Genomic DNA, 13,470 nt, shown 5'->3' with positions numbered 1-13,470 from the left:
CCTGAAGTTATCTAGCCCATCTCTCAGCTCCAGGAAAGCCCTCCCTTTCAGACAACTATCCCAGTCACACAAAGCAAGCCAGATCTGTGGGATGAGGATTCAAGATAAATTAGGTCAAAGAATAAGCCTCTGGAAAAGCAAGAGTTTTCATAAAAATGGAAGCCTATGCTCAGCCTGCTCAGGCATTAGTAAATGTGGGAGAGGCTGACGGCAACTTAATGGTCTAATAAAATGTTTACACAGGGCGAAGGATTCTTACAGACAAACATTGCCTGAGATCAGCAGACAATTTGCTGGGGTCTGGAGATCCTATTATTAGGCAGATCTCACTGTGATGGCATTAATTGTGGGAGGGAACACACCCTCACCCTCATCACCCTGGGACTCTTCCTCAAGGGCACCCCCGCAGCAGGAGTCCAGCCTTGCTCTTCCCCTCATTAGGCTCAACTTGGCACCCTCTTTCCCTCCCTCCATCTCTGCACTGCTCAGAGGCACTGAAAAGGGGGCTTCTGTGTTTGTCTCCTCAGTAGACTGGGCAGGGGTCTTCCCAGATACATCTGAGTCCCTGAGCTCCACACAGGGCCTACATGGCCCAGAGGAGGGGTCCAATAATGTTCAGGTGACCAGATGAGTGAGCATACAAATGAACCAATCAATAAATGATTAAACAAGGGGATAACTGAATGAAGGAAGGGTGCCTATCCTCACTTTAATTAATTTTAACTAGTTCCTTCAACTAGTTAAAATTCCTTCAACTTTTTGAGCACCAACCTTATATCAAGTCACACAGAATTAGTAAACAGTGAATCAAATCTGCCTTATAACCTACAACTTCACAACTTCAGTTTGAACAACTCTTCTAGGGAAGCCCGTCACGCAGCAGACAAAAGTACCTAATGGGGAAGTGTAACAATTGGGCTCCTTTCTTTTGTATTATCATCCAGGTAAATAAGTCTTTTATAATTCAGTTTTGAACCATTCTGTCACTTGATCAGGCAAAAATGGCTGGGTGGGTCTCAGTGAAGCACCAACTTGGGAGGGTCTCACTGAGCTCGGGAGGGTCTCACTGACGCACAGACTGCTCAGCACACTTACCATGCCCTGGGGAAGGCGGCATCCCAGGAGGGAACCAACACACATCCTGCTGCTGTCCAGGCACTGTGCAACCTGGCTTTGAACGTGGAGATGCTCCCAGGAAAGGAGTGGCTGGGAGCATCGTATTTGTTAATAAGAGATATTGATTCTTAAGAGCAACCCTAGGGAGGCCAGCTGAACACAGAGTAGTTAGACACTGTGACAAACAGCAAAACTCTGAAAGAACCCTACCTCAGACACAAGGAGAGAGAGGGAAATACCTAATCTTACGGCAAGCTAAAACAAGCAAGGAAATTCTGCCAAAAATTAAGAAATAAATGTCATAATTAAAGCAATACAAATATCAGTAACCATAGCAATAATAACAGTTAATATTTATTGAGAGTTGACTATGCAACAGGCTTTGTGTTAAGTACTTTACATACTAATTCATTAATCCTTACAATGACTGTCATAAGTACATACAATATTATTATCCTTATTTTACAGATAAGAAGCTGAGGTAAAAAGTGGGTAAGTCACCAGCTTAAGATCCCAAAACAAGCAAGTGATGGAGCCAGGATTCAAGTAGTATGGTGCTAGAATCTGTGCTCTTAATAGTTTTATTCCGTGACACTGTCCAGAATCTTCTATATTCCTTCCTTACAAAAGTTAACCACTGTTTACAAAGGACTTGTTCCTTGGGAATACATCACTTAATCTTAGAATATGCAAGTCACTGAGAAAATAGGACTCACTTCACAGAGCTGCTTTGCAGCCCACTTAGAGAACTATCTAATACAATACTCCTATAAATAACTCTAGTGTTTCATTTACATTTGGTAACCATGTTTCCTGTTAAGAATTCCTGGGATTATTGATTTATTCCAAAACCAGGTTTCCTATCTAATGGAATGCCAAGCTTGATATTCAACTGGCCAAGTATAACAGTGGCTCAATTATTAAATCAATAAGATAGGTGGTATCAATTAATGGATTATCCTGGAAACTTCTGTTACAACTTTATCCTCAAAGCTCACACTCACTCCAAAATGTAGATATCCTCATGTTGCATGATAAAAAAAGGTAGATACTGCCTGGGAAAAGTCCACCAGCTTTGAGGGCTAGCAGACCTGGCTCCAGCCTCGTTTCTGCCCCTACTCATGTCACCTGCAGCAGATGATTTACTTCCTACAGACCTCCATCTCCTCAGTGCTGTGGACTCACACCTAACACATGCAGGTGATCTAGCCCAGTGCCCGCACACAAGGGAGGTGGCTGACAGTGCTGGCTGACATTTGCCTTCCTTATTCCTGGACTTGTGTCCATCCCCTTCCTCTGCCATCGCCAACACTCATCATCTTCCTCTGCCCAGGTGGAAACAATGACATCACTTTAAGGAAATAGCCTATCATGATTTAAGATCATGAATTAGAACACACCTGAAGGGAAATGTGAATGGCTTGGACTTTGCCATGATATAAGCATCACTAAATGGATAAAAATCAAATCACTTCCGTCAACAAATTCCATTAGGAAGTTGCTGATGAAACAAAGACTTTGCCATTCCTGCTGTTTCACAAATTGTCTCAAATTGCCAACATTTGGGTGTAACCATTCATTTATACTATCTACAATCTGTATTCTACCAACTGATTGATCCATGGGCCAAATAATCCATTCCTGGAAAATAAAAATCTACATGAACATGTTAAAACCATGTTAAAAAATATATTGGGTGAGGCTGAGGTAATGTTTAGAGGGAAATTTATAGCTTTTTATGTTTAATATTCAAAAAAATCAATCAGTATAATTCCCCACACTAACGGAATGAAGAAGAAAAACTATAAAATCATTTCAGTGGATGCAGAAAAAGCACTTGACAAAATTTAACAACCACTCCTGATAAAACCATTCACCACACTAGGAACAGGAGGAATTTCCTCAACACAGTAAAGGATGTGTATGGAAAAACCCACAGCTAACACCATACTTACTAGAGAAATATGAAATGATTTGTCACCATGATCAGAACGAGGCAAGGATGTCCACTCTCACCACTTCTACTCAACATTTTACTGGAAGTTGTAGCCAGTGTAATAAGTTAAGAAAAAGAACATAAAGGTTAGAAAAAGGTATAAAGAGTAGAAACAAAGAAGTAAAACTATCTTTATTCTTAGCTGACATGATTTTTTATGTAGGAAATCCTAAGGAGTCTATAAAACAACCACTAGGACTAATAAGAAGGTTTAGCAAGGTTGCAAGATACAAGATGAATATACATAAACTAATTATGTTAATATATTAGCAACAAATTAAAAATATCATTTATGATAGCATCAAAATACATAAAATACTTAGAAATAAATTTAACAACATATGTACAAGACCTCTATACTAAAAACTTAAAAATACATAAGTGAAGAGATGTGCTAAGTTCATAGATTGGAAAACTCAATATTGTTAAGAGTCAGTTTTCCCTCGATTGAGCTATAGTATAGATTCAATGTAATCCCAATCATAATCCCAGGATTTATTTTTTTTGTAGAAATTGAAAAGCTGCTTCTAAAATTTATATGGAACTACAAAGGATCAAGAATATTCAAAGCAATACTGGAAAAGAACAAAGTTGGAGGACTTACACTACTTGACTTCAAAACTTACTTTATAAAGCTACTAATAAAGACAGTGCGATATTGGTGTGAAGACAGACAAACAAATCAAAGTACAATAGAGTCCAGAAATAGACCTACACTTAAATGGTTATGTGATTTTTCACAAAGGCAACAAAACAATCTAAAAAACTTTTCAAGAAATGATGCACTGGAATAAATGAATAGCCATACGGAAAAAAATCTACTTTGACCCCCATCTCACACCACATACAAAAACTAATTCAAGATAGATTACAGGACTAAATGCAAACGCTAATGTCATTAAGCTTTTTAGAAGGAAACTGAGTAGAATGTCTTCATAACTTGGTGGTAAGCAAAGTTACTTAGAACATAGAAAGCAGTAACTACAACAGAAAAAAGTGATAAATTAGACTTCATCAAAACTTTTGGTTATCAAAAGACACCATTAAGAAAACAAATAGGTAAGCCATAAATTGTCAGAAGGTATTCACGACACATATATCTGACAAAGGACTGATAAGTAGGTTAAAGAACTCCTATAACTCAACAACAAAATAATTTTTTAAAATCTAATAAAAAATAGGCAAAAGATTTGAAAGCTGCTTCACAAAAGAAGATCTACAGATAGCCAATAAACACATTAAAAAGTATTCAATGTTATTAGTCATCAGAGAAATGCAAAATAAAACCACAATTAGATACCACCACAGGATCTCTGCTATGAGATTCTTTTTTTTTTTTCTTAAGCACACCCAGAACTCTGGGTCAGAGATGCCTCACTTCCCATCTCCTATCTCTGCCCCATCCTGTATGTGTACTCATTACCTAGTACCCTGGCAGGAAAGTGAGTGTAGAGCAATTAGAGAGCATGGTGTTGCCCAAAGTATAGGACATACCCTGCCAGATTTTAGGTGACACACACTTTTTTTATTATGGTAGTTAGGTATTTATTTTAATATGCACTGAAGGAAAATGGAATTAGTATTTTAAACTCATTATTTCAAGGCTAATATTACTTAGGAGAAGGTTAAATAAATAGTCTGTTTAAAGTAAACATAATAATAATACTAATAAAGGTGGTGCATGGATAAGATGAAAATTGCAAAGGTGGGGACTGTGACCAACTCAAGTCCAGGATCACCAGCAGCACAGATCACCAGCAGTTAACTACATAATCAACAGCAAACTGTCCCATTCTAGGGCTGTGGGGAACTTTAACTTCTCTCTTCATTGAGCCCTCCACTTGACCCTACAGTGTCACATTCACACAAGTGACCACAGATGTCCTGAAAAAAAGACATCCTAATGAGACAATCTGGGTGGTGTAAAACCAGGACTCTGATTGCAAAGAACAAAGGCTTATTCCATAACAGTCTCACGATTGTTCTGCGGGAAACCTGCATCCAATTCATTTTTGCCCAATTCCATACTGCCAGACATAATTCTCCCCATCGTTTCAGCTAGCATTCTTTCCTTACCTGCCCAAGGCATGGCTGGGGATCTGTAAAAACATGGCCATAAAGAGATTCATGTTAGAAGGCTGGGCGCGGTGGCTCATGCCTGTAATCCCAGCACTTTGGGAGGCCGAGGTGGGCGGATCACCTGAGGTGGGGAGCTCGAGACCAGCCTGACCAACATGGAGAAACCCCATCTCTACTAAAAATACGAAATTAGCCGGGCATGGTGGCACATGCCTGTAATCCCAGCTACTGGGGAGGCTGAGGCATGAGAATCACTTGAACCTGAGAGGCGGAGGTTGCGGTGAGCCAAGATCGCGCCATTGCACTCCAGCCTGGGCAACAAGAGCAAAACTCCATCTCAAAAAAAAAAGAGATTCATGTTAGAGTTTGGAGAAAGATTTCCTTGTGTTACCGCCACAGAACTGGAGGTCTGGCTCATAGCAGACGGACAATAAATATATCCAGAGTGAAAGCTGACTGATCTTGAAGCTAGACTTTTCAAATTCAAGTTTATAAGCCCAGGTGTGTATGATGGTGTCAGGCACAGAAAGTCGTAAGATAAACGTAGCCCTGAGATTTTAGACAAAGCTTTACTTTTCCTCGGTGGTAACTCACTTAAAATAATATTTTTAGGCTGGGCACGGTGGCTCACGCCTGTAATCCCAGCACTTTGGGAGGCCGAGATGGGTGGATCACCTGAGGTCAGGAGTTCAAGGCCAGCCTGGCCAAAGTGCCAAAACGCTGTCTCTACTAAAAATATAAAAATTAGCAGGGCGTGGTGGCGTGCGCCTGTAATCCCAGCTACTCGGGAGGCTGAGGCAGGAGAATCACTTGAACCTGGGAGGCAGAGGTTGCAGTGAGCCAAGATCTTGCCACTGCACTCCAGCCTGGGCAACAGAGTGAGACCCCATCTCAAAAAAAAAATTATTTTTATAAAACAGACAACCAGTATGACTTTTTTGCAGGGAGGGGCAATTTGGCAATACTTTTTAAAATGCAACTGCCCCAACAATTTCCAATTCTAAGACAGAAACTTGCAGAAACACTTCTACAAGGTGCAAAGAGATTACGTTCACCTAGCAAAAGACTGGAGACACCAAAAACATCCATTAAAAGACTGGTTAAATGGTAAATAGACACAAGGGAATATCCTACAGCCACTAAACAGAGTGAATTTGAACTCTCTGAACTCATGCTCCAAGACATTGCTAAGCAGAGGGAAAACAAAATGCAAAATAGCAGATGTAGTATAGCCCCACACTTAACTTTAAAAACAAATTTTAAAGTGACAATACTAATAGACTAACATAAGCATAAATATACATATATGTGGACAAAGTCAGATGAATAGGCACCAACCCTCTGTTAACATCACCGTAAAGGGGTGAGGAGGCTCTTGCATTCTCTGAAGGCATTTATAAAATGCTGGAGTCATAGAAGCTTTGTAGTGAGAAAAAAGGTTTAAAAACAAACAGGGTGTGTTGACATGTAAAAATGCACAAAAAATGCACACACTTGAAAAAACATACACACAGGCCAGGTGTGGTAGCTCAAGCCTGTAATCCCAGCACTTTGGGAGACCGAGGCAGGCGGATCACCTGAGGTCAGGAGATGGAGACCAGCCTGGTCAACACAGTGAAACCCTGTCTCTACTAAAAATACAAAAATTAGCTGGGTGCGGTGGCGCATGCCTATAGTCCCAGGTACTCAGAAGGCTGAGGCAAGAAAATCGCTTGAACCTGGGAGGTGGAGGTTGCAGTGAGCCAAGATAGTGCCACCGCACTCCAGCATGGGCGACAGGGTGAGACTCCACCTCAAAAAAAGAAAAAAAAACAGAAAGTCTTTAAGAAAAAAAAAACACACATATGAAAAAATGTCTCCTTCCTGGCCTTCAGACCTGCACCTCCACATCCAAGTGATAGGTTCCCTCCCTCTGCATTGTGTGGCTCTTCACAGAAAGGTGCCAGCAACACTCTTAAAGACCATTCTTTTTGTATGCAAGGAGCCTTCTTCAGAAAGGAATGTCCCCAGTGTCTCTGCAAAAGAGAGGATGGTTTCCTAATGCTCCCTGTCAGCCAAGCTCATGGCCCTGTCACTGGTTTTTACATCCAGCATTCTCTGGCTGGCCTTGTGCAAGAAGACACTGAGAACCACATGTGCTGCCGGAAGAGTGCCCTTTCTGAAATGGAAGATGTTGTTGTGTTCTGAGCTTTCTGGTTGTGTTTTAAGGGGGTTGGGGTGAAGATCCTTTCTTGGGACTTTTGCTTTTAGACACACATATACATAATTCAACCACAAGAACTACTTCTCAGGAAGAAATGCTAAGAGGCACTGTAAGATGTAAACTTATTAAGCCTAAGCAACTCAGAAACGGTACAAGTCTACCAAATTTGAAAATGGGGAGAGAATGGAACGGAGGCACTCCACTCCAGAGCTATGTAAAAATAGTTTTGGCAAAGTTCAAATGATTGCTGGAGGCAAGAAGAGCTGACCTCTCTTCTCCTTCCCTTTCATCCCCCCCTTGCCTACCCTGAAACAACATCACTCAGGGCTACAACCATCTGTAGCTGTCAGGGGAAGCCACAGTACATTCAGAAAGTCTTGGACCCACGTATCCCTGAGCTCGGAACTGCACAAACAAAAGGTTAAGGGAAGGGGGATGGGGTAAAGGGAATAAAGGCTTAAAGATTAAAGTCACAGGCAGAGACAGACGGCTCAGTTTTTTAATAACTGAAAACACGAGTCGGGTCTGAATGTGTCCATTGTTTAGCAGAGAGGGCAATCTATGCAGGCAGGACTGGCTGGCGACAGGACTGCCTTCCCATCAGAAATAAGATTTACCAAAACCGGGGGACCTGGGGCAGACCTCAACCCTGAGCTCCATTTACTGATGATGATGCAGAACACAGCATCCAGGTGAGAATCAGATTGTTGCTACCCTGGGCCATGACAAGAAACGGGGCTTGAAAGAAAGAGGCCAGTCAGTCATGGAGTCAGTGGCACTGGTCTTCTCGTACCGTTAATGGTGGGAGTGTAGATTGGTACAGCCTTCTGAGAAGAAATTGGATCAGAGATGTAAAAATGCGTATTTCCGGCCGGGCGCAGTGGCTCACACCTGTAATCCTAGCACTTTAGGTGGCCAAGATGGCCAGGTCACTTGAGGTCAGGAGTTCGAAATCAGCCTGGCCAATATGGTGAAACCCTGTCTCTACTAAAAATACAAAAAAATTAGCTGGGCGTGATGGCATGTGCCTGTAATCCCAGCTACTTGGGAGGCTGAGGCAGAAGAATTGCTGGAACCCGGAAAGCAGAGGTTGCAGTGAGCCGAGATCGCACCACTGCACTACAGCGTGGCAACAGAGCGAGACTCCGTCTCAAAAAAAAGAAAAACAAAATGCGTATTTCCGCCTCCAGGATTCTAGCCCCAGCAAATAATCCAACCTAGGACAGACCCTGATGCACTAAGATATTCTATGCAGAATGATTCACAATAGCAAGAAATCAGAAACAACCTAAACAACCAACACTAGAGGGAATAGTCAGTGTTTATTTATTTATAATCTGCCTTACTGCAAAAACGATGTAAAGCAACTTACAAAAGTACACAGAACAAAGAGGAAAAATGCAAAAGAAGAAATCACAGCAATAAGAGAAAAAGAAAGTATTCATTTAAAAAACGAGGCCAGAGCTGGGCTGCAAATTCTTAACATACTGCGAGCATCCAAACTCTCCCTAGAGGAGCCACAAGACAAAGCTGCCACTGCTGTCACCAATAATAATAATGGCAACTATTTGCTGAGTGCATGCCCCACACTGTGCGAGGCTCTTTGAGGTCTCTCAGTAACCCAAGGTACTGTCATTCAGTCTCCCTTCTGCAGACAAGGAGACTGAGGTTCCAGAGGCCATCGAGTGCCAGTAAGTGACAGACACAGGTTTGGGTCACATTTCTTCAAGTCAGAGCTTATATGCTTTCCACACAACCAAACACTTAAATTGTGTATTCATACAATGGAACTCCTGCAGGCATGAAAAAATGATGTTTACAGAAAGTGATTAATGGCATGGGAAAAATGTTTAGGATATAATGTTAAATTTAAAAGCAGCCAAAAAAAATTACATGAAATGTTTAATTTCCATCAAGTAAACCAGATGATTATTATTTTCTTCCTTATACTGTTATTACCCAAAGTTTCTAAAATAGGTCTGTATTAGTTTTATAATCAGAAAAAAGTGACTTTGTATTTAAATATATATAAAGGGCCACTGTATTTGTATCACAGCACACATCCCATGATACGCACAACAACTCACTTTTGTTTTAAATAAAAATCTTACATATATAGTAGAATCAGAAAATACACATGCCAAATCTTGAGCAAGGAAAATCGTGTGTTTCTTGTGTTTATGTTCATCATTTAATTGATCATAAACGAATAATTTCATTTGGCTCAGAACCTTGTCTTTGCAGTTTTTTGGAGTTATATATGTCAGAAGACAATTATTATAAATTGGTTTCATTTCCTTTTTATTTTCCTCTTCACATACAGACTCTCACACAATCAAACAGCAGAGAGTCACAGACACACTGTCTCAGGCCTTCCTCCTGGCTACAGCACTGACCCACACACGTGGACAAGGGCCCCGTTTTGCAGGCCCTCGCAGAAAGGCGGTGGGGGCAATACCCACAGGGTCATGCCATTGCCCAAGTCTAGCCAGGCCACGGTTGCTTCTTGAAGAGCAGTTCTTCATCTTGGGTCCAAACACTTCCTGAAATAGTTATATGCGTTCTGTTTGGGAGAAGGGCCAGAGCTCTCCCCAGTTTCTCAAAGAGCTCTCTAATCACTAATCTAGACATGCCAGTCTCACTCTTGCCATGAAGTCTGGGACAAATCCCTTGTCTCTACCATCTTGACCTCAAGCCCAAGCCCCAACCTATCTTCCAAGGATATTATATAGGAAGGTTTAGCCACTGAAAACTGACAGAGGGAAACACTTATGCAATAACTACACTTGTGAATGGGAGGCGCCTTCATCTCCATTATGGAGAGAGGAGACGAGGCTCAGCAGAGGTTCGCAGAGCCTGGATTCCCCTGTGTCTGTCAGGTCCCACACATTCCGCCAGATAAAATGCATCTGGTAGACGACAGTGGCTCCAAGTTTGGCTTTGGAGTGTCCTTTTATCTGCTGATCACCAAATACTGTGCTCAGCTGCAGACACAGGCCTGGTTTTCTATTATGAGACAAAAGAATAATGATTTTCCAAGATCTATTTAATTATTTCTTTAAAACTTGCCCCCTCCATTGCCATGGTGTTAATCACCCACATTGAGAGCTACCTTTCAGCACTGTGCAGCAATGGCAAGTCAGCTGTGTTTTGATTATCTGAAAGAAGGAAAAAATATTTTAAATGCTTTAATATTTAAACAAATAGAAGGCAGATTTCTTTCATGTTTCCTCAACTCCTAAAGCCATAGAACAGCCTGGGCCCTAAATTTGAAAATGAGTTCAGACTAAAAGAAGTATCTCAAACTACCACCAGACTTTAGGCGAAGATCGTGTAAAATATTAATTGTACTGCTGCTACTGGAAACCAGCCACAGTGCTCGGGTGGGAGAAGGGGAGGGGTGGGAGGAGGAGAAAAGCAGCACTGGCTGACCAGCTCCAAGAAGGAGGAGCGAGGAGGGAGGAGGGTAACTATTCAACTAATAATGTTCATTGTAGAAATTTTAGAAAATAACATTGGGAAAGAAAAAGCCTTGGGGAAAAAAAATTCTTTATAAAAGGAAATTAAAAGTCACCTAGATCTTAGCCCCTAATGTTAGCTACTGTTAACATTTAATGTCTTTCTTTCTAGTCTTTTTCTTGCACATATGTATTTTGTATATTACTGAACTCAAAAAGAATTCCTTGCCCTGCTTTTTTTCACTTAACATATGTAGGATGACTTTTCACATTTTTAAATTTTCTTCATAAATATCATTTTAAAGAAGGGTGCACAAAGTACCTTATTTTGCTTCATTTGGGTGGCTCCCAATTTTTTGCTCTTATAAATAATGCTGTGAAGAACATTTTTGTGCATAAAGCTCTGGCTCATTTCAGATTATTCCCTGAAAGAGGAATTATGAAATCACAAAGCAGAACTTATTTCAGGATCCAGATAGATTTCCCAGAATTAGTTCCCTGAAAGGCAGGGCCAAGCTGAAGTTCTCTAATAACTTATTGTTAAAACAACCATCCCAGTCCCATCCAGCCACTGCTGCACCCTGCCACCCCAAAAGCATCTGACCTGCAGATGCCTCCCAGAGGAGCCTTTTCCATCCTGTGCTGGGAAAAAGAACAATGGCCTCAGGACAGCACAGATCCTCAATCCAGGTGGGAGCTCAGCACCCTCCAGCTGGGAAGGCTGTGGTGTCCAAGCTCTCCGGAAGTCCCAAGAGGCTCAGACACCTCCCAGCCTTATTTTCTCCATTAAAAACACCATGTGGGCACCCTGTCTTTTTTATGAGCTGAAAAGATTTCACGTCCCAAGACGGAAGAGAGGAGAAATTGGGGTGCAAAACTTACCTCCACACCAGGAATATTGGGTAAGTGCAGCCTTTGTGGCAGCTTAGCTTTATGTCATTTTTGGTTGGGTTTTTTCTTCTTCATTCAAGTTGGGGGATGGGGGAAGATGGTCTTCCCTCTATCCCCCAAGATAAGATTTTACTTGCACAGAAAACCGCTACTCAGCCTTCATGGCTCATTCTCACTTAGATAACTATACTGTTTCTCTTCCCTTCTGTCCTCCCATGCCAGAGGAAAAACACATCTGCTGATATCAGAGTCCCTCCTCCTCTGGAGGGAGGAAGGCAAAGAGAGGGACAGCCGAGCAACTAGGAGAAATGGCTTTGGAGTTGTACAAGTTATGTCCAAATCCTGGCCTGCGGATTAGTGTGTGATCCTAGGCAAGTCACTTGCCATTGCTGAGGCTCAGTAATGGGAACTGATGATGTGGTCCTTACAGGGTCATGGTAAGGATCACAGAAGGTGACATTTGTAAAACACATAGGTATGGTGGCTGCTACAAAGCAAATAAGTCAATTCATTTTTAAATAATATTTTAGAATCATTATTACCACCCAAATGACCAGGCAAATGATCATCTGAAGGGAAAAAATTACGTAACTGGATAAATGAATGAATGCAGAAAAATGGGCCCTTGCCAATAGTCAGGCTACAGGCAGAGGGCAGCCCCTCCCCCGAAGTGCCAGTAGGTTAGCTCTGTCACAGCCACAGGAGCCTGCTCTGCAGAGAGCAACACCCTCTCAGATGCACCCTGCTGGAAAACAATGGTGAGCCCTTGCCTCCTCTGCCTCCCTTGGAGGCTGGTCTGGAGGGCACTTTCTTTCTGGGGTATGTGGCTATACAATAGGACCTGTGTCTGAGCCCACTGGTTTAGAGCATCCCCTGATTCCCCCAAGTCCTGAGAGGGGAACTTCAGTGATACATAAGGACAGCATAAGTGAAGTCTGGGGAGTCCCACTCCTTGGGAGGAGGACACAGTCACTAACAGCAAGGTCCCTGAGTGTGGCCACCCTGCAGAGGATTCATGCAAGCCGTCCCATTTAACCCTGAAGGGACATGATGGAATTCCCATGTTGTCACGTAAGATCATGTAGCTGGTAAGGGACAGTGCCAACATTTGAACCCAGGCTCTAAAACCCAGGCTCTTTTCTACCAGTGCTGTACAGTCCCTGTTTAAAGCAAGCAGATGCCCCCCTGCCCTGAAGCTTGGATAGTCTCCAGAAAGAAAAATACCTGTTAGGATGCTTTACACATTATTACTACTACCCACCAATTTCAAGAATGTCTTCCTTTTCTACCCAAGTAGACTAAAAGTATTGGGGGTGGGAGGTGTCTTCTGTATCTTTTCTGTACCTCCTCCCCCAACAAATATATGCTCCTCCTTCCAGTATCACAGGTGTCCAACAAATACTGTGGAAAGAGTTAATCAATCAATTAACTGAATGAAAGGGGTCAAAAGACAAAGAAGTTAAATAGGAGAGGGGAAGAAAAAGACAAGCTACAGATAAAATTGGCAGAAGAGTGTAAGCACTATAAAAATACGTTTGTGAAGTCCAGGAAGAGTCCTGATCTTCTGGGGTAATGTTCTAGGTGTCACAGTAGCAGGCAGCCAGGGTGACAGGAAAGAAAGTGATTAGGAAACAGCCAGCTGAAGCTCAAGAGCCCAGCTCGGAACCCCACAGGCACAGCCTTGAATGAATCTGCAGGAGAAGAGCGGGTCCAGGGCCTGCTGCAGC

The 13,470-nt window shown here is 42.1% G+C and overlaps 1 protein-coding gene across 10 annotated transcripts in view, besides 1 other annotated feature; it reads right to left on the bottom strand.

Moving 5' to 3' along the window:
* The window catches only part of EEFSEC (eukaryotic elongation factor, selenocysteine-tRNA specific), a 272,743-nt gene that overhangs the window by 220,388 nt on the left and 38,885 nt on the right, over positions 1-13,470 (bottom strand). The gene's annotated exons all lie outside the window — the stretch shown is intronic.
* Positions 9,994-10,534: a transcriptional cis regulatory region, noted in NCBI's record as "genic|chr3:127914145-127914685 region (GRCh37/hg19 assembly coordinates) targeted for CRISPR interference". NCBI's record gives its function as "negatively regulates H1.10 gene expression in K562 cells {active_cell/tissue: K562}" and the evidence as "EXISTENCE:mutant phenotype evidence [ECO:0000015][PMID:31784727]".

Source organism: Homo sapiens, chromosome 3 (assembly GCF_000001405.40).
Source record: "Homo sapiens chromosome 3, GRCh38.p14 Primary Assembly".
Lineage (NCBI taxonomy): Eukaryota > Metazoa > Chordata > Mammalia > Primates > Hominidae > Homo > Homo sapiens.
The sequence above is the reverse complement of the archived record's forward strand: the minus strand, read 5'-3'. Positions and strand labels throughout refer to the sequence as shown.